The 25899-nt window shown below is 48.1% G+C and overlaps 1 protein-coding gene across 1 annotated transcript in view, besides 3 other annotated features; it reads left to right on the top strand.

Moving 5' to 3' along the window:
• ATP9A (ATPase phospholipid transporting 9A (putative)) overlaps positions 1-25899 on the top strand; it is a 171877-nt gene that overhangs the window by 128505 nt on the left and 17473 nt on the right. The window contains exons 15-22 of the mRNA NM_006045.3: positions 382-543; positions 10814-10906; positions 12203-12286; positions 14524-14694; positions 17714-17812; positions 20843-20932; positions 21080-21224; positions 22332-22396. Of these exons, the coding sequence (NP_006036.1) occupies positions 382-543; positions 10814-10906; positions 12203-12286; positions 14524-14694; positions 17714-17812; positions 20843-20932; positions 21080-21224; positions 22332-22396 (909 nt within the window). The remainder of the gene's footprint in view (positions 1-381; positions 544-10813; positions 10907-12202; positions 12287-14523; positions 14695-17713; positions 17813-20842; positions 20933-21079; positions 21225-22331; positions 22397-25899) is intronic.
• Positions 322-616: an enhancer, noted in NCBI's record as "tiled region #9373; HepG2 Activating DNase unmatched - State 25:Art". NCBI's record gives its function as "activates a minimal TATA promoter and a strong SV40 promoter by Sharpr-MPRA in HepG2 cells {active_cell/tissue: HepG2}" and the evidence as "EXISTENCE:reporter gene assay evidence [ECO:0000049][PMID:27701403]".
• Positions 7813-9012: an enhancer, noted in NCBI's record as "BRD4-independent group 4 enhancer chr20:50247413-50248612 (GRCh37/hg19 assembly coordinates)". NCBI's record gives its function as "activates an origin of replication core promoter dependent on BRD2, P300/CBP, MED14 and CDK7 cofactors, and independent of BRD4, by STARR-seq in HCT116 cells {active_cell/tissue: HCT116}" and the evidence as "EXISTENCE:reporter gene assay evidence [ECO:0000049][PMID:35650434]".
• Positions 15084-15616: an enhancer, noted in NCBI's record as "H3K4me1 hESC enhancer chr20:50240809-50241341 (GRCh37/hg19 assembly coordinates)". NCBI's record gives its function as "activates a minimal SCP1, AML or CMV promoter by ChIP-STARR-seq in primed H9 embryonic stem cells {active_cell/tissue: H9 hESC(primed)}" and the evidence as "EXISTENCE:reporter gene assay evidence [ECO:0000049][PMID:30033119]".

The raw sequence follows: 25899 nt of genomic DNA, 5'->3' as shown, positions 1-25899 counted from the left end.
TCGAACTCCTGACCTCAGGTGATCCACCCACCTCGGCCTCCCAAAGTGCTGGGATTACAGGCCTGAGCCACTGCACCCAGTCACAATCACTCTTAATTCTGTGCCATCTCTTTCCGCCATGCCTCTGGTGTGCAGCCTGTTTTGAGCCTAGAAAAGATGAATTGTGCCTTATAGAGGGGCAGCTTTCAGTGTGGGAGCCCTCATAGACCCAGAGGAACAGACACTGTCATGGGCCAGCACAGAGCACTTGGCGTCCCTAAGGGCAGTGACTACTGTGATTCCCCTGTCTCTGAGCCCCCTTCTGCCTTTGTGTTCATAGCACAGCCTGTGAACCCAGATTCTCGGCTGGGCATCTGACCTTCGACCCTGTGTTATGTTTAGGTGGCCCTGGTACAGTGGACGGAAAGTGTGGGCTTAACCCTGGTGGGCCGAGACCAGTCTTCCATGCAGCTGAGGACCCCTGGCGACCAGATCCTGAACTTCACCATCCTACAGATCTTCCCTTTCACCTATGAAAGCAAACGTATGGGCATCATCGTGCGGGTGAGTCGTTTTTATTCATGGCTTAAAGTGCTTAAGTACCCCAGGTGTGCTGCGTGTGTCCCTGTGGGTTGACATTCTTTCTAACCCTCTTTACTGTGGTATCTGTCACCCAGACTAACAAGGGAATATAATTCCCTAAGCAGAAAGGAAATTAGTTCATTCATTGGACACACCCCGTAACTCTGATCCGCTTATGGTGTCCCTGGTTCTGGAGTGAAAGTTAAAGAGAACGTCCATTGGGGATTTCTTGGTAATACATCTCTCATTCTCTTTTGTTTAATATTGAACATGTATTTTTTTATTGAGGTGAAATTCACATAATATAATCATTTTAAAGTGAAAACTTCAGTGGCATTTAGTCCATTCACAGTGTTGCTCAGCCACCACTTCCCTCATGTTTCAAAACATTTTCATCAAAATGATGAAAAAAGAAACCTTGTGGCCGGGCACGTTAAAAAATTTTGCCAGTCTGAAGAGTCTGATTGGATTTGATATGTTGTTTTTCTACTGGCTCTTTTAAAAATTTTTAATTTTTAAATTCTTATTAAAAGAATGTATTTATAAGAGTCCTCCCACCTCAGCCTCCCGAGTAGCTAGGACTACAGGCTTGCAAAACCAGGGCTGACTCATTTTTTAATTTTTTATAGATACAGGGTTTCACTGTGCTGCCCAGGCTGGTCTCAAACTCCTGGCCTCAACCGATTCTCCTGCCTGGGACTCCCAAAGTGCTGGAATTACGGGTGTGAGCCACTGTGCCCATCCCTCTGTTTTCTCTTTTTACCCACGGAGATCACACTTTCCGTCGTGGGGAGGCTGGAAAATCTGGTGTTCATATGCCACTTGGTCTGGTTGTTCTGCAGTCTGCATGATTGTCTGATTTTTCCCAGGGAGCTTTGAAAATACCGATTCCTTGGTTCAGTCCCACACCTATGTTGGAGTGGGGTGGTTCCTCACATCATTTAGCTTCGTTGCAGAAAACTCTCCTTCAGATCTTAAGGATCTTTGGAATAAGGCTCTTTCATCTTTTCTGGACTTTTTTTTTTTTTTTTCCTTGACAAATGAGAATCCTCTCCACCCTGATCTACCCAAGTGTTTCATGCCTCATGGAGGAAAGAGATACTTGCACATGCATTTTTATAGCAGCACAATTTGCAATTGCAAAGATATGGAACCAGCCCAAATACTCATCAGTCAACAAGTGGATAAAGGAACTATGAGATATATATATATATATATATATATATATATATATATATATATATATATATATAAAATGATGAAATGCTACTTAGCCATGGAAAGGAATGAATTAATGGCATTCGCTGCAAACTGGATGGGATTGGGGACTATTATCTAAGTGAAATAACTCAGGAATGGAAAGCCAAATGTCGTATGTTCTCACTCATAAGAGGGAGCTAAGCTATGAGGAAGCAAAGGCTTAAGAATAATACAATGGACTTTGGCGAGTCAGGGGGCTGAAAGGGTGGGAGGACGGTGAGGGATAAAAGACTACAAGTTGGGTTCAGTGTATACTGCTCAGGTGATGGGTGCACGAAAATCTCATAAATCACTGTTAAAAAACTTACTCATATAACCAAACACCATGTGTTCCCCAAAAACCTTTGGAAATAAAAAAAAAAAAACAGAGTGCACAAGTAGAAGTAGAAATTGATAACATAGGTTGTTGGGCACATGGCCCTGCCCCCTGCCTGCTGGCGGAGAATTTTCAGCTAAGGCTTGGCTTGTGAACTTCTCCTTCAGCCTTACAGGTTCCTTGAATTCAGACCACCTCTTACAGCATCTCGTTCTTCTTCCGTAGCATTCATCACACTGAAATTCTTGATTTCCTGCGGGTTTGCTTGTCACCACCTGTCTTCTCCCTGTGGGTTAGAACAGGGGCCAGGATCCTTTTGGTCCTCCCGTGTCTCCTGTGCCTAGCTTTCCTGCCTGGCACACGGTAGACTCACAGTCAGTGCCGAAGTGAGCAGGATTCAACAGTGATAGCCAGTTGTCTTTTTTTTTTTTTTTTTTTTTTTAATGTTAGGGAAGTTATCAAATAAGATACTTAAAATAAACAACTCACAGCTTTTTCTCGCCCTCCTATCTTTGCACCACTCTTCTCCTTGATCATTTACCGTGTAGCTTTAGTGCCATGGGCAGCTCTGGGATAGTAGTAGAAATGGTAATAGCCACTAGCAGCAGCAGTAGTAAGAAGAATGACAGGAATGACAAGTAACATTTATTTATTTTTTGAGACACAGTTTCACTCTGTCACTCAGGCTGGAGTACAGCGGTGCCATCTCAGCTCACTGCAACCTCCACCTCCCAAGTTCAAGCAATTCTCTTGCCTCGGCCTCCCGAGTAGCTGGGATTACAGGCGTGCGCCACCATGCCCGGCTAATTTTTTGTATTATTAGTAGAGACGGGGTTTTGCCATGTTGGCGAGGCTTGTCTGGAACTCCTGACATCAAGCAATCCGCCCACCTTGGCCTCCCAAAGTGTTGGGATTACCCCGCCCAGGGGCTTATTGTGTGCCAGAGGCTGTTCTAAGTGATTTGCATGAAGTAACTCATTTAATACATAACCATGTGAGGTAGGTACCATTAGGACTGATGTTTGGCAGGGGAGAAAATTGAAGTGGAAGGAGGCTCAGAAACCGTTCAAGTTCACACAGCTGGAATTGAGGGGAGCTGGGAAACCTGTCCAAGTTCACACAGCTGGAATTAGTGGGGCTGGAACTCACTCCAGGCTGCCTGGCTTCCAGCTCCCAGCTCTCTACGCCAGGACTTGGGGGTTAGGGCTGGGGTGTGACGAGAGGGACATCGAAAAGCTCACAAAAGACCCACAGTAATGTTAGGGTGGGATATTAACTACGTATTGCTTCATAACAGATTGCCCCACATTTAGTGGCTTAAAACAGCAATATGGTAATCCCCACTTATCTGCAGGTTCAGTTACCCATGGTCAACTGCAGTCTAAAAATATGAAATGGAAAATTCCGGAAATAAGCAATTCATAAGTTTTAAGTTGTGTGCCATTGTGAGTAGTGTGACGAATTTCATGCCATCCCACTCCATCCTCCCGGACATGAATCATCTGTCTAGTGTACTCACGCCATCTACCTGCCTGCTTGCTAGTCACTCAGGAACCCTCAGATTGGCTGTTGTGGTATTGCCGTGCTTGCGTTCAAGCAAGTCTTATTTACTTTTATTACAGCATATTATGTGTTCTATTTTGTTATAAGTTATTGTTGTTAATTTCTTACTGTGCCTAATTCATAAATTAAACTTTATCATAGGTATGTATGTGTAGGAAAAAACATAGTGTATATGGGGTCAGTATTATTCATGGTCTTAGACATCCATTGGTGTCTTTCTTACAGGGAAATGCATTCCCTTACTCCAGAAAATGTATTTCCCTGGAGTAAGGAAGTTCCTCCTGTCCTCTCCCCTCCCCTCCCCTCCTCCCTCCCTCCCTCCCTTCCTCCTTCCTTCCTTTTTCCCTCCCTCCCTCCCTCCCTTCCTTCCTTCCTTCCTTCCTCCTCCCCTCCTCTGTTTCCTTCCTTTTCTCTTTTCTTTTCTCTTCTCTTTTTCCTTCCTTCCTTCCTTCCGTCCATCTTGCTCTGTTGCCTAGGGTGGAGTGCGGTGGCATAATCATGGCTCACTGCAGCCTCGACCTCCCAGGCTCAAGCAACCTTCCTGCCTCAGCCTCCCAAGTAGCTGGGACTACAGGTGCACACCACCATGCTCTGCTAATTCTTATCGTTTAGTGAAGATAGGGTCTCACCATATTGCCCAGGCTGATCTCAAACTCCTGGGCTCAAATGATCCTCCCATCTCGACCTCCCAAAGTGCTGGGATTACAGGCATGAGCCACCACACCTAACTGGGGGCTCTGTTTTCTATTTGCTATCTGATGGTTTTTGTGGCCAGGACAATTTCTGTGGCAGGCTTGGCTGGGTCCTCTGGCTCAGGGTCTCTCACAGCCTGGGCTCAAGGGGTCTAAGATTCTATGGTGGTAGGACCCACATACAGACGTCAGTGTTGTTGGCAGAGTTTGGCTCTGGGTGGGTTGTTGGACTGAGGGCCTTAGTTCTTTCCTGGCTGTTGGCCAGAGGCCACCCTCAGTGCCTTCCCACGAGGGCCTCCCTGTAGTCAGCTCCCCTGTCAGCTACCTGTTCAGAGTGAGCAGGTGAGAGTGAATGAGATGGCAGTCACAGTCTTCTGTCACCCACTGTCAGAGGTGACCTCCCCTCACGTCAGCCTCATGCTGTTATCAGAAGCAAGTCACTAGGCCCAGCTCCACTCCAGGGGGGTGGCTGACACACAGCATGAGTACCAGGAGGTGGGGGGCATTGCGAGCCACTTTGAAGACTTCCTGCCCAGGAGGAGATGGAGGTGGCACTGAGCACTTGTATTGAGGAACCAGAGACGCACACCATGAATATGCTTTGAAACATCACACGTTAGGGGATTTTTTTTTTTTTTGAGATGGAGTTTTGTTTTTGTTTCCCAGACTGGAGTGCAATGGCGTGATCTCAGCTCACTGCAACCTTCGCCTCCGGGGTCCAAGCGATTCTCCTACCCCAGCCTCCCGAGTAGCTGGGATTACAGGCATGTGCTACCATGCCCGGCTAATTTCGTATTTTTAGTAGAGATGGGGTTTCTCCATGTTGGCCAGGCTGGTCTCGAACTCCCGACCTCAGGTGATCCACCCACCTCGGCCTCCCAAAGTGCTGGGATACAGAAGTGAGCCGCCACGCTCGGCCCTATGTTAGGGGATTTTTATGTCCAGAGGCCAATAGGTTCTTTCAGACTCTGCAGGACCTGTGTCCTTGGCAACTCTTGGGTGGAGAGGGAGCTTTCTCTCCCACACAGCTGCTGCTTTTCCCACTGGTCCACACCTGGCTGGATCCCTGGCTTCTAAACCGTATCTTGAGTGTGCATCTGATGTCAAGAACATCTGTGGTCTGGAAGCAGCAGCATAGATCCTGTGGGTGGGGTGTTTCCTGGGGAATGAGTGTCATTATCTCCTATCGAATTACTTTAATTTTGTTCCAGTCTGAAGTTGTTCAAGACGTAGGGCTGTGGGCTCTGCTAGGGTCATTTGAGGGTTGACTTATCATTGAGCAGTCCCTAATGTCAGCCATCCTAGAAGAAGTGAATGGCATACGCCACTCTTCAGCTAGTTGTGAAGGACATGTTATATTTTTTTGAGATGTGGCTCGTGTGTCTTCCAGCAGGAAGAACAGGGACTCTGTGCTTAGAGTCTGTGATGCTGTCAGATGGGCAGATCTATTTTTGTTTTAACCTGGCATGCCCCCCTTCCCAGGTTATTAAAAAACATTCACAGTTAAGGCATTTAGAACAAAAAGTTACAGGTAAAGAGGGGGATCAAAACTGCCCTCCCTCTCTCTCTCCCTCCCTCCCTTTCTTCCTCCCTCCCTCCCTCTTTTCCTTCCTTCCTTCCTTTCTCCCTCCCTTCCTTCCCTCTTTCTGTCTCTCTCCCTCTCCCTCTTTCCCTTCTTCTGTCCTTTCTTTCTTTCTTTTTTTTGCCTCCCTCCCTTTTTTTCTTTTCTCTTCTTTTCTTTCTTTCTCAAGACAGAGTCTCACTCTGTTACCTAGGCTGGAGTGCAGTGGTATGAACATGGCTCATTGCAGCCTTGACCTGCTGGACTCAAGGGATCCTCCTGCCTCTGCCTCTTAAGTAGCTGGGACTACAGGTATGCACTGCCACACCCAGCTAAGTTTTAAATTTTTTGTAGAGCCAAAGTCTCTCTGTGTTGCACAGGCTGGTCTCAAACTTCTGGCCTCAAGCTGTCCTCCCGCTTCAACCTCCCTAAGTACTGGGATTACAGGCGTGAGCCACCGTGCCTGACCAGTTCATCTCCATTTTCACCCAACAAAAGACCTTTTACCTTTTCAAGGGATTTCCTTTCAGTCTCTTTTCTAAGCATATCCGAGTGTAAATATCCACACACATTTTTGTAAAATTATCACTGAACTCCATAGAAGGCTTCCTAAACTTCCTCCCTCATTGAACTATATGTATACGATGAGAATTTTTTCGTATTATTAAAATCTGATTTTAATGATTTTTAACGCATGTGCAGCGTTCTGTTGAAAGAATGTGCCACTATTTCATTCATTAACTTATTTTTTGGCTGCTTAGGCTGTTTCTCAATTTCAGTTTTTTTGTTTTGTTTTGTTTTTGTTTTTTGAGATGGAGTCTCACTCTGTCATCCAGGCTGGAGTGCAGTGGTGCAATCTCAGCTCACTGCAACCTCCGCCTCCTGGGTTCAAGTGATTCTCCTGCCTCAGCCTCCTGAGTAGCTGGGATTACAGGCACCTGCCACCACGCCTGGCTCATTTTTGCATTTTTTAGTAGAGACGGGGTTTCACCATGTTGGGCAGGCTGGTCTCGAACTCCTGACCTCAGGTGATCCACCAGCCTCGGCCCCCCAAAGTGCTGGAATTACAGGTGTGAGCCACTGCGCCTCGCTTTTTTCTTGGTTTTGACTACTAAAAATAGTGCTGTGAATGTCCATCTTGGTGAGGTTGTCTTTAATGAAATAAGTATTATTTTGCTATTTTTTTCTCATTTTCTGACCTCTTTATCTTTGGTTGGGTTGGTGGAACTGGGCCTCTGGGGCTTTTGGACTAGTTCTCCCCTTGGCACAAACCTCACCACACTCCTCTAATGTGATGGTTCTCATCCTGGGGGCATTCGAGAATGTCTGGCAACATTTGTGGTTGTCACAACCAGAGGCTGAGAGTGCTACTGGCATGTCATAGGTGGAGAGCAGGGATGCCGCTCAGCATCCTGCAATGCACAGGACAGCCCCCACCTGAGGAAGGGCCTGAGAAACCCTGTTATGATGTGTTCATATAACCCAAATGCTCTATGCAAATGACTGTCCAGTTATCTGATGTGAGGAAGTTTTAGTTCAGTTATAAAACTTCTCCTAGGCTTGGTACGGTGGCTCCTGCCTGTAATACTTTGGGAGGCCAAGGCAGGAGGATCACTTGAGCCAACGAGTTTCAGTCCAGCCTGGGCATCATTGCCAGACTCCACCTCTACTAAAAGCAAAAAAATTAGCTGGGCATGGTGGTGCACACCTGTAGTCCCAGCTACTGGGAAGGTTGAGGTCAGGAGGTCCAGGTTGAGGTCACTCGAGTCCAGGAGGTCGAGGCTGTAGTGAGTCGTGATTGTGCCATTGCGCTCTAGCCTGGGCAACACAGCAAGACCCTGTCTCAAAAAAATAAAGAAAAAGAAAAAAGAATAAGAAAAAAAAGAAAAATTCTCTTGACTTGGTTTAGTGACTGTGGACAGCCCCAGTTTGGGTCTCCCCTGTCTCTTTTTTAAACATGTGTGAGTGCACGCACAGTGCAAGATGGCACCTTCTTGCACCCACAAAGCAAGGCCATTTCCTTGTGTGAATGTCTGTCTCTTAAGAAATCAGGCAAGGTTGGAGAAGGACTCGTGTGATGTCTTTTTGCAGGAAGGTTGTGTCCCTGTTTTGTTTTTGTGGCGTACAAGATGTTCCAGTGCCTTCTCCCCCTTCCCACGTGGAGCCACGGGTTTGGATCGTGGCTGTAGATCATCGTAGCGCTGTCATTGCTGGACTAAAAGAGGCCTTTGAGCAGGTGCCAGATGCAGACCACGGTGGGAAAAGATGAGGCCCCCAAACAATGCCACACAGCCGGCCGATCTCTGTAAATTTATGGCGTAATCTTGCCATAATATGGGAACGAAATAAACTTGTGATGAACTCCGTGGGAGGAAGTGACTCATGGGAGGGGATCGTTGATGCGGTATTTATATTGGACAGAACTTCTGAACTCACTCAAGCCCTTTTCTTAGTGAGGAAGCTGGGCTGGGAGCATCATTTCCTACAGCCACATGTTGTTGAGCACCCTTTGGTTGTCGGGGGGAAGGAAAAAATAAAACCTCTGATTCTTTAATGTGCAGACCCCACAGCTCTCTTTGGCCTGCGTCAAGAGCAGGCATAGCCACAGTCTATCAGAGATAAAGTGTGCAGTTGAACGCTTTTAAACGTGGGTGCCTGTCTTGGCCTGGGGGTGCTCTTATGAGTCAGCATGTTGTTCTAAAAGATTGTTGGTGATTAAGGGGCATTTGAAAGTTATTCTAAAAGAGGAAACTCTACCACTAATCTGATTTTGGATATTTCTGTTCCATGAAAGGGCTGCATAGACAAAGTGGCCTCCAAAGGAGCCTGAAACCAAAGAACAAGGCAGGCAAATCCAGTTTGTCGTTAAAGGGTGTTTTATTGGGGGAAACTTACAGATAGAAGCGTGGTTTTTGGGGGAGCCGAACAGACAGAAGTGTAGTTTTGGGCGGCAGGAAAACAGGTGGATGTCCATACTGTTACTCCCTAGACCCAGGGCTTATACCACAGGGAAAGGGTCCGCGTGCCCCAGCAGGACAATTACGGGCACCTTCCAGGAGAGGCAAGAAAGCTGTATGTTTCATCACCTGTAATTTGTGCGATAACATCAAGGTTGACATGTTCTTATGTGAAGGACGGTGAATTAAGTAGGAATCGGGGGTGTTCATGGGACTGGGCTAATCAGAAGTCAGCATGGCGCATTTGCACCTGAGATGCAGTCACTTTTTTTTTAAGATGGAGTTTCGCTCTTGTTGCCCAGGTTGGAGAGCAATGGTGCAATCTCAGCTCATTGCAACCTCCGCCTCCCAGGTTTAAGTGATTCTCCAGCCTTGCCTCCTGAGTAGCTGGGATTACAGGCATGCACCACCACGCCCAGCTAATTTTGTAATTTTAGTAGAGACAGGGTCTCACCATGTTGGCTAGGCTGGTCTCGAACTCCTGACCTCAGGTGATCTACCTACCTGAGCCTCCCAAAGTGTTGGGACTACAGGCGTGAGCCACCACACCCAGCTTGAGATGCAGTCACTTTTGTCTCCACGGTTCCATATTCAATGAAGACTTTCCGGGCATTTATTCTGGGCTTCCTGGAGTAGCAAAATTTAGGCACAAGGTATTGATGGCCATGCTCAGTTTTCTTGCTTATCTTTACTGCCTCCCACCTCCCAGTGACGCGAATCATTGGGGGAAAATGGGGGAAGGATCTGTGGCTGCGCCGTCATTCCTCAGAGCTAGGACTTCTCAGTCTCAGCACTGTTGACTTTTAGGGCTGGAGGAGTTCCTGGTGGTGGTTGGGGGCGTCCTGTGTGATGTAGGAGGGTGAGCAGCACCCCTGGCCTCCACCCGTCAGATGCTAGTAGGACATTGCCTGCGTTGTGACACCTAGAGTGTCTCCAGACATTGCCACATGTCTCCTGGAGGGCCACATTGCCCTGTTGAGAGTACTGGGCTGAGCCTTGTTCTCTACGTACAGTATGGCTGGGGGACTTGGGAAATCACTCTCATCCCAGCAGCAGTTATACCACTGAGGGGTCCTTTCCATGTGTCAGTCTCTGTGCTACATGCTTGATTCCTGTTTTACAGATGAGAAAACTGAGGTTTAGGGAAGAGGAGTAGCTTGTCCAGCTGCACACAACTAGAAACTGGTACTTGGTCCAAGCATTTGATGCCTGTGCCATGGTGCTACCCACTACCCAGAAAATCTGGTTAGGGTGAACTGAAACTCTGGGTAATTGGATCTCTAGGCAAGTCCTTAGTTAGACTTAGGGATCTGGAATTATTCTCAGCTGAGACAGTCAGTTTGCCCCCAGGAGACATTTGCTAAAGTCTAGAGACATTCTGGTTGTCACCATGGAGGGTGTATGACTGGCATCTAGTGCGTAGGGGCCAGGGATGCTGCTCAACATTGTACAGTGCACAGGAGGGGCCCTGCAGAGCAAAGAGTTATCTGGCCCCAAATGTTCACAGTGACGAGGTTGAGACTCCCTGTTCTAGTCCTTATCTTCCCTATTCTTTCAGTGGACCACAGTTTGATGATATCTGCAGTCCCAAGTGTAAATCTAAAATCATAGCATGTGAGTCTATTCCAGTTGAAATAGTAATAACTTTCAAAACAAAGGTCTTAAATCCATTTGATCTTTCTTTCATCATTGAAAATCTTCCAAGTGCTTTGAGTTTTCCTTTTACTTTCTGTAGCCTTTGCCCCTAAATGAGGCCCCTTCTCGCTTTTCATCTTCAGCCAACTGAAAAAACATTGGTGTCTGTTAAGTGCACTTTGTACACTGTCTGTCATGGGAAGCGGGCTTTGCCGCTGAAAGAGGGTGTTCCTTTCAGTTTCTCATTCCTTCCGGCCTCCCTCTCTAGGATGAATCAACTGGAGAAATTACGTTTTACATGAAGGGAGCAGATGTGGTCATGGCTGGCATTGTGCAGTACAATGACTGGTTGGAGGAAGAGGTAAGTGTGATGCAGGAAGTTAAACCAGGCCTTGGAAGCATGTTCTGCAGAGGCAGCCCCTTGCATGGTAAGGTGGGTCTCTGTATTTGTTATCGGTGGCTGTGTAACAAACCACCCTGAAATGCAGCTGCTTAAAGCAGCACCCATTTAATATATAATGGTTTCTGTGGGTCAGGGATGCTGGTGTGGCTGAACTGCATCCTCTGCTTCAGGGCCTCCCACTGGCCGTAATTCAGATGTTGGCTGGGGCTGTGGTCTCATCTCAAGACTTGACCAGGGCAGGATCCATTTGTGAGCAAGCTCAGTTGTTGTGGGCTACATTCAGCTACTTTTGGACTGTTGAACTAAGGGTCTCAGGTTGTTGCCAACTGTTGGCCAGAGGCCGCCCTCTATTCCTTGCAGGTGGGCCTCTCCCATAGGGCCACTCACAGCCTGGCAACTAGCTTCAACAAAGAGAGCAGGTGATGGAACAGGAGAGGGCAAACAAGATGGAAGTCACTGTCTTTACTAACCTGATCTCAGATGTGACATCCCCTCACTCTTGCCCATTCTGTTTGTTAGGGACAAGTCACTAGGTCCAGCACACACTCAAAGGGTAGGCGATTATACCAGAATGTGAGTTCCAGGAGGGGCCACATCAGAGGCTGCACAACCCAGTTTGTGACGTGGACAGTTGGCCAGCAGCAGGAGGGAGGCAGTTTTCAGGCCATTTTTGTCCCATCTCTTAGCTCTAGGGGGAATTTACATTTTGCATAAGATTCTCAGTTTGAGGGTTGCAAACTCAAATGCCTACAGGGGCCTGGCAGTTAATGCAAATGAACAAACAGGTTGTGATTTTGAGCAGAGTTGCACTTTGCGTGTAAAACGTGCTGGAGTGTTCTTCACTTGACACCTCCACTTCCTGGGAACACGTGGAGGCCACTGCTCCTCAGCCATCATTGATTGTGGTTATTTGGGAAAATGCACCTGGTTTTGTCAGATGCTCAGTTTTTCCACCCATTCAGCAGTCCAGATTTGTGTGTGAGACCGCACAATGTTGACTTAAATTTGGAAACATACATGTGCTAGTTGAAGACGACCTGTGGGTGGGCTGTGTTTGGCTCACCGGCTGCCTCTCTGCAACTTCCCCTATAGAAAGCTTGCTCCAGGGAGGATTGCCGTAGGGGAAAGCAACTTTCTGATTTGCCATTTTCTCTGACCCTGTGGGAGGGGCACATCCACTTGGGCACTGGTCCTTCCCCAGTGAGGTCAGGAGCTCTCAGCACCGCTCCCACTCGACCGTGGTCTATTTTTCAGTGTGGCAACATGGCCCGAGAAGGGCTGCGGGTGCTCGTGGTGGCAAAGAAGTCTCTTGCAGAGGAGCAGTATCAGGACTTTGAAGTAAGTTGTTCTGGGACCTTTCCATTGCCTTTGCAGCCCCACCTGCCTCCCAGTCACTCCTTCCACCATCCCTCATCCTATGCGAGCCATTCTGATGTCATTTCTGGGCACACTGGGTTCACTGTTGTTGAAGGCCTTTGCACTTGCCGTTCTGTCTGCCTGGAACTCTCTTCACCCACAGAGCCCCATGGCCCATTTCCTCGCTTCTTTTGGGTCTCAGCTCAAAAGCCACGTCCTCCAAGAAGTCTTCCTGGACCACCTGTCTAAGGCTCCTTCTCACTTTCCATCCATCATACCATTTCACTTTGTTCATTGCATTTGTCACTGTCATCGCGTGCTACCATTTGGGGCCAAAAAATATGTCTAGGAGTTGAATCTGGAGAGGCCAGAAGAATATAAACTTGACCCTGTTCATATATTTTTTTTTAACATTCATCTTATCCATCTCCTTTCGGGAATAAAATATTTTTGAAGACAGGGACTTTACAAGTCTGGTTTGTTCTTCTTATTCTTGTTCTTCTTCTTCTTTTTTTTTTTTTTTTGAGACAGAGTTTCGCTCTTGTCGCCCAGGCTGGAGTGCAGTGGTGTGATCTTGGCTCACTGTAACCTCCGCCTCCCAGGTTCAAGGGATCCTTCTGCCTCGGCCTCTGGAGTAGCTGGGATTACAGTTGCCCGTCACCATGCCCGGCTAATTTTTGTATTTTTAATAGAGATGGGGTTTCACCATATTGGCCAGGCTGGTCTCGAACTCCTGACCTCAGGTGATCCACCAGCCTTGGCCTCCCAAAGTGCAGGGATTACAGGTGTGAGCCACTGTGCCTGGCCTGGTTTATTCTTATATCCTTAGTAGTTAAAGATAGTCCTTGGCATATGGTATGCCTTCGGGAAAATTTGGCATAAATCATTCTCTTGGAGCCCTAATTTCTTTTCTCTTTTTTTTTTTGCACATTTATTCTGAGACGGGGTCTCGCTATGCTGCCCAGGCTGGTCTCAAACTCCTGGCCTCAAGCCATCCTCCTGCCTCAACCTCCTTGTAGCTGGGATTACAAGTGTGAGCCACCGCATCTGGTTCGGCTCCCTAATTTCTTTTCTTTTTTTTTTTTTTATTTGTGACAGAGCTTTACTCTTGTTGCCCAGACTGTAGTGCCAATGGCACGATCTCTGCTCACTGCAACCTCTGCCTCCTGGATTCAAGCGATTCTCCTCCCTCAAGCCCCCAAGTAGCTGGGATTACAGGCATGTGCCACCATGCCTGGCTAATTTTTGTATTTTTAGTAGAGACACGGTTTTGCCATGTTGGCCAGGCTGGTCTCAAACTCCTGACCTCAGGTGATCTGCCTGCCTCGGTCTTCTAGAGTGCTGGGATTACAGGCATGAACCACCACACCCGGCCTCCCTAATTTCTTTAAGCTGTAAAAATGTTGGGGTTGAACCAGATTATTGACTTGCTTATTGTCATCCCATCCCATAGATTGTGTGTTCCCTGAGGGGAGGGTCCTCGTCTTGTTTACTGCCGTGTCTCTGGTGCCTGGCCTAAATCCAGCGTGCAGGAATGCAAGGGAGGGAGGCGGGACACGCTTCGTGGGGCCCTGCCCTGCTCCATGCGGGGAAACTGCCTGGATCTCTCTTTAATATATTTGAGTTCTTTGTAAGCCATTATTTAACAAGCATTTTAGCCCCGATCAATGCTACCTGCCTTTTAATTTTAAAAGCATGTGCTTCAAGCGGGCCCATTAGATGACTGGTTTTCCTCCAGGTTTTTGCTAACATGATAAAGAGAAGAAGCGGCAGTTTGGGTTGATGGTCTTCAGAAGCTCGACTTGGTCTTTAGAAAACCTGGTGACCCACAGTTTGGCTTACAAAGTGCATGTTGTGTATGGGAGAACTTACTGTTTTTTTGAGATCTTGGTTGTGCCCGTCCCTGAGACAACCCAATGAGGTTGGTGCTGTTATTGCCATTTCGTGGCCACGGCTCAGAGAGGTTAAGTGACTTGCTGGAAGTCTCCCAGCAGGTGAGTGTGGAGTGTAGGGTGGGACTCAGGTCTGTGCAGTGTCTACATGGAGGACTTGTGAGGAAGCTGGAAGCCTATGTCACCCCTGTGGGGTCCAGCTCACCTGCTGGGGTCCCCCACCCCGTGTGGTGGGGATCGGGTGTGGCCCTTCCACTCTTGGCACTGGCCAGTCAGCCTGGCCTCTCCTCACCCTAAGCAGTGACTGCATCTGCTGGTGTGTCCCAGGCCCGCTACGTCCAGGCCAAGCTGAGTGTGCACGACCGCTCCCTCAAAGTGGCCACGGTGATCGAGAGCCTGGAGATGGAGATGGAACTGCTGTGCCTGACGGGCGTGGAGGACCAGCTGCAGGCAGATGTGCGGCCCACGCTGGAGACCCTGAGGAATGCTGGCATCAAGGTAGGGCGGGCTGCCCGCAGGGAAGGGCACTCCAGGGCAATGCCAGTTATCCCTCAGCAGTGCAGGGAGATCACAGGGGGAAAGGGTGGGAGGAGCAGCAGAGGACACCAGGAGTGCCTTATCTGCAATGGGCCACAGGCACTGTTTCTGCCCCTCCAACTGTGATTTTTTTTTTTTTTTTTTTTTTGAGACGGGGTCTCGCTGTGTCGCCCAGGCTGGAGTGCAGTGGCATGATCTTGGTTAACTGCAACCTCTGCTTCCTGGATTCAAGCAATTCTTGTGCCTCATCCTCCCTAGTAGCTGGGATTACAGGCACGTACCACCACGCCTGGCTAATTTTTATATTTTTGTAGATAGAGGGTTTCACCATGTTGGCCAGGCTGGTTTTGAACTCCTGACCTCAGGTGATCTGTCTGTCTCAGTCTCCGAAGTGCTAGGATTACAGGTGTGAGCCACTGTGCCTGGCCCTCCAGCCCTGATTTTGGAAGACATCTTGTGTAGCGTTTGCCTTTACTGTACCGATGACTCCCCTGACTCCACTGGGCTCCCTGGTGCTCAAGGCCGAGCAGTGTCCAGCGTGCATGGCTGCTGATTAAATTCTAGTTGAGTGATCAGCACGCCGGTCTGTCTGCCGTGTGGCCAAGTGAGTGAGTGACCACCCAGCAGAGTGACCGTCAGCGCCATCACACTGTCGTATTAGCATTTTGCACTCTACCAGTGGCGACCCAAAAAAAAATACTAGGAGTTGAATCTGGAGGGGCCAGCAGAGGGCGCGTGAGGACCTGGTCCTCAGTGGACCAAGGGAGGTGTGAACAACCAAACTCATTGGCCTGGAGCTCCTGGAAACGTGTGCCTGCCACCGGCCTCCACTCAAAAGTGGCTCTCTGCTGCATCCTGGGGCCTGTCCTTTCAGCAGGGCCATGGCAGGAGGACAGGTTAGATGCCAGGCAACATTCAGGCCCACTGGGGACTCCCACCCCTGCGTGCCTGTTTCCTTGTAAACCCAATTCTGTCGCTTGCATTTGGCTCACAGGCCTGGTTCGTCATAAGGAAATCACCAACGGGACCTTGCTTCCGGAAGTCTGGCCGCTGGAGGCCCATTTCTGCTTCATCGTGGGGTCTGCAGTGGGGCCCTGGCCATTCCTAAGACTTCTGGAGTTTCCATTTTCTGCTTCCATCTTTGTCCTGGGGTTTTTCTCCTTCTCAAAACTATGTTAGCCCAAGACGAGATATTTTATTCACAGAGTGTGCATGTGACTTACCATTCTAGTTTCCTGTTAGATGACAGGAGGAGGGGAGTGCCTGGGATGGGGCAGGTTAGTTGGTAATTAAAGTCTAAGATACGATCTTGCACAGGAAATTTTCTTTTCTTTTCTTTCTTTCTTTCTTTTTTTTTTTTTTTTTGAGACAGAGTTTCACTCTGTCGCCCAGGCTGGAGTGCAGTGGTGCGATCTCGGTTCACTGCAACCTCCACTTCCTGGGTTCAAGAGATTCTCCTGCCTCAGCCTCCCAAGTAGCTGGGATTATAGGTATGTGCCACCATACCTGGATAATTTTGTATATTTAGATATTTAGTAGAGATGGGTTTTCTCCATGTTGGTCAGGCTGGTCTCGAACTCCTGACCTCAAGTGGTCCACCTGCCTCGGCCTCCCAAAGTGTTGGGATTATAGGCGTAAGCCACCGCGCCTGGCTGCACAGGATATTTTCTAAATCAGCCCCTTGTATGGATGTAGAAACTGAGGCTAAGTGAGGCGTCTCCATTCCCCAGGTTCTCACATTGGGAAGCAGCAGAGCCGGGACTGGAGCTGGGGTCTTGGACCCTTCCTGTAGTACCTTGCCTTCATCACAGCATGGGACATTAGCCATGTCGTGCACCTGATCGTTCTTTTCATGCTTTTCTGGAACTTGAACTTCCCAATTCCTTCCCCAGTGTTTGTTCTCTTACCTCAAACCCTGAGAACTATGACTAAACGAAGCTCACCAAAAAGAATATTATTTTTAGGACAGGCGGGATATTGAGGGAAAACAGACCCAGCTAGGGGAGAGGGCCCGGGAGGCTCAGCCCTGAGAGGTGCCCGGTGCCTTCCTTCTGCCCGTCTCACTGCCTGGGTTTCCATCCTACCTCTCCCTTTACTTCTTCTGTGACCCTTGGCAAATGACTGAAGCTCTTAGCGCTTCCATTTCCAGCCTCCAGAAGCTGTCATGAAGGTAACAGAGAGCTCAGCGTGGGTGCTGGGCACGTAGTGGACACTCAGGAGACAATTGTCATGATCTTCTTTCCTATACTTTCCCTCCTATCCAGATTTTCTTTGACCGATAGCCCCAAGACTGCTCCCAGCTGGGAGCAAAGAGAACAAAAGGGTTAATGAGGTAAAATCACAGAGCAGGAAGCACATTCCATGAGGACTCTAAAGACCCGGATTCTGGGCCTGGTTAGGACAAGAGGTAGCTGTGTGGTTTGGGGCAAGTCATCTACCCTCTCTGAGCCCACAGCAGAGAAATGCAGTGTGAGCTAATGCACGATACGGAAGAACCTGACTCATTTACGGTCAGCGTTTTATAAGCTGAGTTAAACCCCAGAAGGGTCTGTCTTGCTCATCCAACTACATAGAAAGTCCACAGCGTCAAAAATGAGTGTTTCCTGTAGGACAGGGAAGTGCCCCCTCACCTGTACAGCCTTTCCCTTCTTTTAGGATATTTATCACTTTAAGAAAAATCCTCAGAAGGGGAATTATGCGGTCCAAGGACCGAGCTTCATAGTACCTCCTGTAGTGTGTGGCCAAATGGCCCTTTCTAGAAGCATCTGCCAGTTTTTGCTGCTACCAGCAGTGGTTGCTTGGAGTCCCAGAGCCCTTCAGCCAGGGCGCTTGCTGTGTTGTGTTGGGGACAGCATGAGTCGGCAGGAGGTAAACGGAACATACCAAGTTCAGCTCCATGTTGTTGGAAACTCAGCTGTTGCAGATGACAGGCCGGCCTCAAAAACTAATAAACAGGACCTCTGTCACGCCATGATTTCAGGTTTGGATGCTGACAGGGGACAAGCTGGAGACAGCTACGTGCACAGCGAAGAATGCACATCTGGTGACCAGAAACCAAGACATCCACGTTTTTCGGCTGGTAAAGTGTCCTCTGCGTTAGGGCCATGTGGGGATGATGTTCGATTTGTCCTATAACCTCCTAACCTTGAGTGGGCCCCTTAAGAAGGGAGGGGCAGCATGTGAATTACCTAGGGTGGGGAGCATCAACCACGGTTGCTTTGGATGGGATGATTAATGACCCAGGCGCCGGCTGGAGAGTTTCTTCCAGTAGTGGTTTGGGAGTACCTCCTTCTAGCCCTGTGCTAATGCCATGCTCTTAACCTTTTGGGGGTCGTGGTCCCTTTGAGAAGCTGATGAAAGTCAGGCACTCCCCCCGAAAGATGCAGATCCACTCATACACATGAAATTATGCATGGGATTCCTGGGATTTCACGGAACCCCTGAAAGTCAAGTCCTTGGATAAGAAAGAAATTCCAGGCCACAGATACTGGTCCATCTGCCCTCCTGAGAGGGGAAGCATTTAGGACCATTGAGGAGCCTTTTGAAGGAGGTGAACTGGATGGGCAAATGAGAAATCGCCCGCCCTTGTGGCAGACATTGACCAAGACAATGTGCACATCAGGAACTGCTGCCAGTGAGGACTGTGCTAGGCTTTATTGCATTGGGGAGGTAGGGGGACCGGGTCCTCTTTGGGGCAGGATATAGTAATCCCACTGATCTGAAACCAGAGCCACGATGGCAAACCACTGGAGGGTCTCTAGATGTTTGGGGGTCTCGCCCTCACCCCGCCTTTGGTCCATAGCACACAGAAGCTTCAAAAAATCCAGGGATTTTTGAAATAGCATAGTATTGTATAGAGGCAGGTACAGTCAGTTCTCATCATTCACAGATTCTTTGTGAATTCTCCTCCTCCCAAAATTTATCTGTGACCTCCAAATCAGTACTCTTGATATTTTCACTGTCATACGTAGAGTGGCTTAAATCTCTCCTTTTTTTTTTTTTTTTGAGATGGGGCCTTGCTCTTATCACCCAGGCTGGGGTGCAGTGGTGCAATCTTGGCTCACTGCAACCTCCGCCTCCTGGGTTCAAGCAATTCTTCTGCCTCAGCCTCCCAAGTAGCTGGGATTACAGGCGCCTGCCACCACACCTGGCTAATTTTTGTGTTTTTAGTAGAGACGGGTTTCACCATTTTGGCCAGGCTGGTCTCGAACCCCTGACCTCAGGTGATTCTCCCACTTCAGCCTCCCAAAGTGCTGGGATTACAGGCGTGAGCCACCGCGCCTGGCCTAGAGTGGCTTAAAATTTTAGCTGCCTGAGACACACATTCCCACCTGAGGCTGAACAAGCTCACGCACTCCCCCCTCCTTTCAGCCCCGTGTGACGAACCAGTGTCGTTTTTGCAGTCCATCGAGTATCCGGTTTTTTGCATTTTTATGCTTTTTGTTGGCAGTTTGTCGTTTAAAATGGCCGCACACAGCGCTTCTTTGCTGGCTTGTTTTCTGGAACTTGAACTTCCCAACATCCATAAGTCACATCAACAGGAAGGCTGTTGATGTGACTTATGGAGCGAATGCGTGTGTTAGATGAGCTTCCTGCAGGCATGAGTTACAGAACTGGTGGCTGTGAGCTCAATGTTAATGAATCCAGGTGTCTTTAAGTAGAAACGCACATAAAATAAGGTTATATATTTATGAAGATATTGCAACCAGGGGCAAAAACCTAACCCTGTATTTCCCCTACAGGTGATGGTTTAGTATTTGCTAATTCAGTGTTCACAGTGACTTTAGAAAACATAGCTACTATGAATAATGAGAATTGACTGTCTGTTCTAGAATTCAGGGATTGCAAACTAATGACCTATGTGCTAGCCACCTGTTTTTCTAAACAGCAGGTATTTTGTTTTATTGGAGTGTAGACAGACCGGCTCGTTTGCATATGGTGTACGACTGCTTTTGGATTACAACGGCAGAGCTGAGTGGTTGTGATGGAGACCATGTGGTCCTCAAAGCCTACAATAGTTAACATCTGGTCCTTTACAGAAAAGTGGCCCAGTCCCTGCTAGGTGCCTGGCTCTGCATACCTGGGCTACAGCATACTAGCCATGTGCCTTTAGTCAGGTTAGCAGATGTCACCATGCTTCAGTTTCCTTAGGTGCAAAATAGAGCTTCTTCTTTTTGGCACCTCATAGAGCCGTTGTGAGAAATAAATGAGAAAAATCCACCGAATGCATCATCCAACACCTGGCCGAAAATGAAAGTACAGGCTTTTTTTTTTTTTTTTTTTGAGACAGAGTTTTGCTCTTGTTGCCCAGGCTGGAGTGCAATGGCATGATCTCGGCTCACCGCAACCTCCACCTCCCAGGTTCAAGCGATTCTCCTGCCTCAGCCTTCCCAAGTAGCTGGGATTATAGGCATGTGCCACCAAGCCCGGCTAATTTTGTATTTTTAGTAGAGATGGGGTTTCTCCATGTGGGTCAGGCTGGTCTTGAACTCCTGACCTCAGGTGATCCGCCCACCTCAGCCTCCCAAGGTGCTGAGATTACAGGTGTGAGCCACCGTACCTGGCCCCCCCCCCCCTTTTTTTTTTTTAAAAGACGAGTCTTGCTCTGTTGCCCATACTGCCAGTGCAGTGGCATGATCTCGGCTCACTGCAGCCTCTGCCTCCTGGGTTCAAGTGATTCTCCTGCCTCAGCCTCCCAAGTAGCTAGAATTACAGGCACCCACCACCATGCCCAGCTAATTTTCTATTTTTAGTAGAGAGTGGGTTTCACCATGTTGGCAAGGCTGGTCTCAAACTCCTGACTTCAAGTGATCTGCCCGCCTCAGCCTCCCAAAGTGCTGGGATTACAGGCATGAGCCACTGCGCTTGGCCAGTACAGGCATTTTTAGTCCTGGGGGAAATTGTAGGTGGTGGTTGGCACATGGGCTCTCTTGATTCCTGCAGAGTCAACCAATAGGATTCCATTTGGTGCTGCCTCTGGTGGCAGGGGAGGGGAGGGACCCTTGGCTGGGGTGGCCGTTGTCTTCATGTGGGCTCCTGGAAGCCACTGTTTGTTGTTCTATCATGTCCGGAGAGCAATGCCTCCTTCCCCATCTCTGTTCCCTTCCAGGTGACCAACCGCGGGGAGGCTCACCTCGAGCTGAACGCCTTCCGCAGGAAGCATGATTGTGCCCTGGTCATCTCGGGAGACTCCCTGGAGGTGAGCTTGGGGACCCCTGAGAGCCAGTCCTCCCAGCAGCCTGGGTCTTACCCGGCTTCGGCAGGGGCACTGCAGGCTCGGCAGCGACCTCCACCAACGCACCACCTCTCCCTCCACCAACGCACCACCTCTCCCTCCACCCTGCAGGTTTGCCTCAAGTACTATGAGTACGAGTTCATGGAGCTGGCCTGCCAGTGCCCGGCCGTAGTCTGCTGCCGATGTGCCCCCACCCAGAAGGCCCAGATCGTGCGCCTGCTTCAGGAGCGCACGGGCAAGCTCACCTGTGCAGTAGGTAGGCGAGGCTCAGGCTGTGCTGCTGGCCCTGGCCTGCCGGTGCACCAGGCTCCCTTTCCCTAAGGATATTTGGACACTGCTGCTCTTTCTTCAAATTCCCCAGGCCCCTTTGTTCAGGTCATGATTTTTCTCCACCTCTCAGACTTTGGCTCTTTTTGTTATTATTTTTAATATTTCCCTTGGAGAGTAGATAAGCACGTGCCAGGCCTCTACTCCTTTGCCAGTGGCTCAAGAGTGCAGCCTTCCAGGGGGTGGAGACCACACACTGTGGGGTTGGATCTGGGTTCAAATCTTTCCACTGGCCTTTGCCAGTGGGTGCCCCAGGTGGCTTCTTTCACCCATCTGAGCCTCGGTTTGCTTATGGTAGAATGGGAATAATAATTGTGGCTTCCTTAAATGGTGTCATGAAGACTAAAAGGGGTCACCTTTTTTTTTTTTTTTAAGACGGAGTCACACTCTGTTGCCCAGCGGGAGTGCAATGACACAATCTCAGCTCATTGCAACCTCCGTCTCCCGGGTTCAAGTGATTCTCCTGCCTCAGCCTCCCGAGTTGCTGGGACTGCAGGCGTGCACCACCACGTGTGGCTAATTTTTGTATTTTTAGTAGAAACGGGGTTTCTCCATGTTGGCCAGGCTGGTCTCGAACTCCTGACCTCAGGTGATCTGCCTGCCTCAGCCTCCTAAAGTGCTGAGATTATAGTCGTGAGCCACTGCTCAGCCTAAAAAGGATCACCTTTAAAATGTGCTTGCCACGCTGCATGGAAAGCGTCCAGTAAGAGCACTACAAGTTGCTGCTGATGGTAATCCTGGGGTATCCCGGCCTCCGAGGAGGACAGGTGGTGGTAAATGCCTATGTGGACACAGTCCCACTGCTGCTGCTCAGTGCCGGGACCCTTGGCAAGCCGCCTGGGCTCTCTGACACTCAGCCACTCTGCCTGTGAAACAGGATCTTGGTAGTCAAGGGGTTGGAGAGATGGAATGGACGGGGCAGGCCAGGCACTCAGCAAGCGCTCCGTGAAAGACGAGAGTGCGGTAAAGACAAGCATACATTCTTGGTTAAGGTAAGAATGAAACATCTTTTCTCTCTGGTCTGTGTGGCTCGCAGGGGACGGAGGCAATGACGTCAGCATGATTCAGGAATCTGACTGCGGCGTGGGAGTGGAAGGAAAGGTGAGAGTGTTTCCCTCTGCTCGGCTCCACTTGCTGTAGTTTCTTGGTTCTTTTTCCCTCAAAGACACAGCTTTAAGCCTTCTGGAAATTCCAGATAAAGAATGATAAAACATAAGGAATCATGTGTCACAGTTACCTTGTGTCACTGGGAAGATAGAGGTCTGTATTGCTACATCTTACAGACAGATGAATGTTGGCTTTTTGTTTGCCACGACCTGAATTTAAAAAAAGAAAAAGTGTTTCTAGGCCCGGTGTGGTGGCTCACGCCTGTAATCCCAGCACTTTGGGAGGCTGAGGTGGGTGGATCATCACTTGAGGTCAGGAGTTTGAGGCCAGCCTGGCCAACTTAGAGAAACCCTGTCTCTACTGAAAATACAAAAATTAGCTGGGCATGGTGGTGGGTGCCTGTAATCACAGCTACTTGGGAGGCTGAGATAGGAGAATCGCCTGAACCCGGGAGGCAGAGGTTGCAGTAAGCCGAGATTGCGCCACTGCACTCCAGCCTGGGCAACAGAACAAGACTCTGTCTCAAAAAAAAAAAAAAAAAAAGTTTCTCTATATTCTTAGGGTATGGTAAGTATACTTCAGACTTCTCTGGGACAGTCAGCGTTGTCAGTAAAAGCATTAGTTATCCTGCTCTGTGCTGATCTCTTGGGCGCTATGGAAGAGTGTGGCTTAGTTCACTTCTCACCAAAAGGCCTTGGCAGGTATAATTTTTAAAAGTTGGTGTGTTAGGAAATATTTTTTCTGTCTTTTTCTCCTTGCCAATTGTGCGCTTGCCTCTTACAGTTTACTCGGCCCTAATTTGTGACCTCTAAATGACAAGAGGCAAGAAGATGGGTCACCGAGTTTGTTAGGACTGTGTGTGAAGGGCTGGAAGCGGTGGCTCACGCCTGTAATCCCAGCAGTTTGGGAGGCTGAGGCGGGAGGATCACTTGAGCTCAGGAGTTCGAGACCAGCCTGGCAAACATGGTGAAACCCCGTCTCTACTAAAAATACAAAAATTAGTGAGATGTGGTGGCACATGCCTGTAATCCCAGCTACTCAGGAGGCTGAGGCAGGAGAATCACTTGAACCCAGGAGGTGGAGGTTGCAGTGAATCGAGATTGAGCCACTGTACTCTTGCCTAGGTGAAAGAGCAAAACTCCATCTCAAAAAAAAAGAAAAGAAGTGTGTTTGAAGTATAGGAGTGCCAAGGCCCGGAGGGGGCAGCAGAGATGCTCCCCTGTCCATCCTGTTGCATAGCTTCATGACTTTGGCTGACCCATAGGGCTTTTTTTCCCCCTCTTTACCACCCTTTCTGGTTCTCTGGTTCTCAGCAAGATGACGATGATTTAAAGTTGTAGAGTGAAATGATTTTTGAATGAGATATATCAGAAGTCTGTATAGATTCCCTGAATACAGTTTTTAAGAAGCATGTTTTTGAGTTTAATGGCATTCTCTACCAGTTCTTAAAAAATTAAAGCATTTTCCCTTCTATTAAAAATGGTATTCTGGTTCCTTTGTTTCTTGGGATATAAAATAGTGCTCACTATAAAAAATTAAAAGAATCTAGGCCAGGTTCAGTGGCTCACACCTGTATTCCCAGCACATTGGGAGGCCGAGGTGGGCAGATTACCTGAGGTCAGGAGTTCAAGACCAGCCTGGCCAACATGGTGAGACCCCGTCTCTACTAAAAATACAAAAATTAGCCAGGCATGGCAGTGGGTGCCTGTAATTCTAGCTACTCGGGAGGCTGAGGCAGGAGAATTGCTTGAACCCGGGAGGCAGAGGTTGCAGTGAGCGGAGATTGTGCCACTGCACTCTGGGTGACAGAGTGAGACTGTCTCAAAAATATATATAACATAAAATAAAAGAATCTAGAAGTAAAACGCATCTTTTCTTTTAGGTAACTGCATCAAATGAGTAACACTGGTTATTCTCTCAACATTTTTTCTGTGTGTATATTACTGGTTATGAGTGTGTATATATTTGCTATCTATACAAATATCTTACACATGTATATATATGTAATTTTCATGTATTTTTTTAAATTGAAAACACACTGTACATTTTGTTGTGCAGCTTACTTAAATCTGCTACATCATGGATTTGTTCCTACATGAGAGCATACAGAGCCATCACTTCTTACTCTGACTCTACCTTTTTATTTTGAAAAATGTCAAAAGTTGAAATACAACAATGGAAAAGTTGAAATAGAACAGTGAGCATTCATCTACCCTTCACTTTGGCCAATTGTTACTATTTGCTACATTATCTTTCTTTCTTTGAATCAGTAGAAAGTAAATTGTATGTAATGTTACCCCTAAATATTTCAGCTGGATCTCTTTAGAACAAGGACATTCTCCCACACAAAGAAAGTAACATCATAACCACGCCCCACCCCCCGCCCCGCCCCCCCAGGCACCCCCACCCCATGTAACATCGATACAATGCTACTATATAATATTCATGCTCAACCCCGTGTTAACATTGATATATAATGGTACTGGATAATATTCATGCTCAAATTCCCCCATCTGTCCTCTGAGTGTCTTCACAGCTTAAGTAATAAAAGCTCCAGGAAGGATTGCAAATCACATTTATTAGCATGTCCTCATGTTTCTGATCTTCTTTATTGTAGAACACGTTTCTCTCTTTTTGTTTGGTTTGGTTAGCGGGTGTTTTGTTTTTCATGTCAGTGACATTTTTGAAGCATTCAGGACAGTTGTAGTGTCTCACGGCACACAGTTCTTGAACCCATCAGATTGATTCGGTTCCAATTCTGGTTTGGCATGAGCACTGTACAAGGGGAATTGGTGTTCTTCCTGTTGTGTCGTATCCAGAGGCTCTCATGTCCCTCTGTCCCTTTATTGCTGGCTGTCACTGCCTTTTAAAATGAGAGAATTCGGCCAGGTGCAGCTGCTCATGCCTGGAATCCCAGCACTTTGGGAGGCTGAGGTGGGCGGATGGCTTGAGCTCAGGAGTTTGAGACCAAACTCGGCAACATGGAGAAACCCCATCTCTACCAAAAATAACTAAATTAGTCAGGTGTGGTGGTGCATGTCTGTGCTCCCAGCTGCTCAGGAGGCTGAGGTGGGAGGATGGCTTGAACCTGGGAGGCAGAAGTTGCTGTAAGCCAAGATCACACCACTGTACTCCAGCCTGCGTGACAGAGTGGGACCCAGTCTCAAGAAAAAATAAAAATTAAAAAATACAAAATGAGAGAATTCCATTATATGGTTGCACTGCAAGTTATTCCCACTTCTGTGAGTGTGCAGAGCTGTGTATTCAGGAATATCCTATCTAATATTGTTAGTAGCTCTGGGTTTTTGCCTCTTGTTTAATTAGCTCTTAAGGGAACTGAATGTTTTAAAATATCTATTTTTAAATGATTCTTTGCTACTTATGGGGTGGGCTGAACTCCCAAAGTATTAGATCCACTTGACGTCCAAATTATAACTATATGTGATTCGGAATGGTTTTTATTTAAATAAATTCCCCTTTTAAAATCAAATTTAGAC

Source organism: Homo sapiens, chromosome 20, assembly GCF_000001405.40.
Source record: "Homo sapiens chromosome 20, GRCh38.p14 Primary Assembly".
NCBI classification, from domain to species: Eukaryota; Metazoa; Chordata; class Mammalia; order Primates; family Hominidae; genus Homo; species Homo sapiens.
This window is presented reverse-complemented; position numbering and strand designations above follow the sequence as displayed.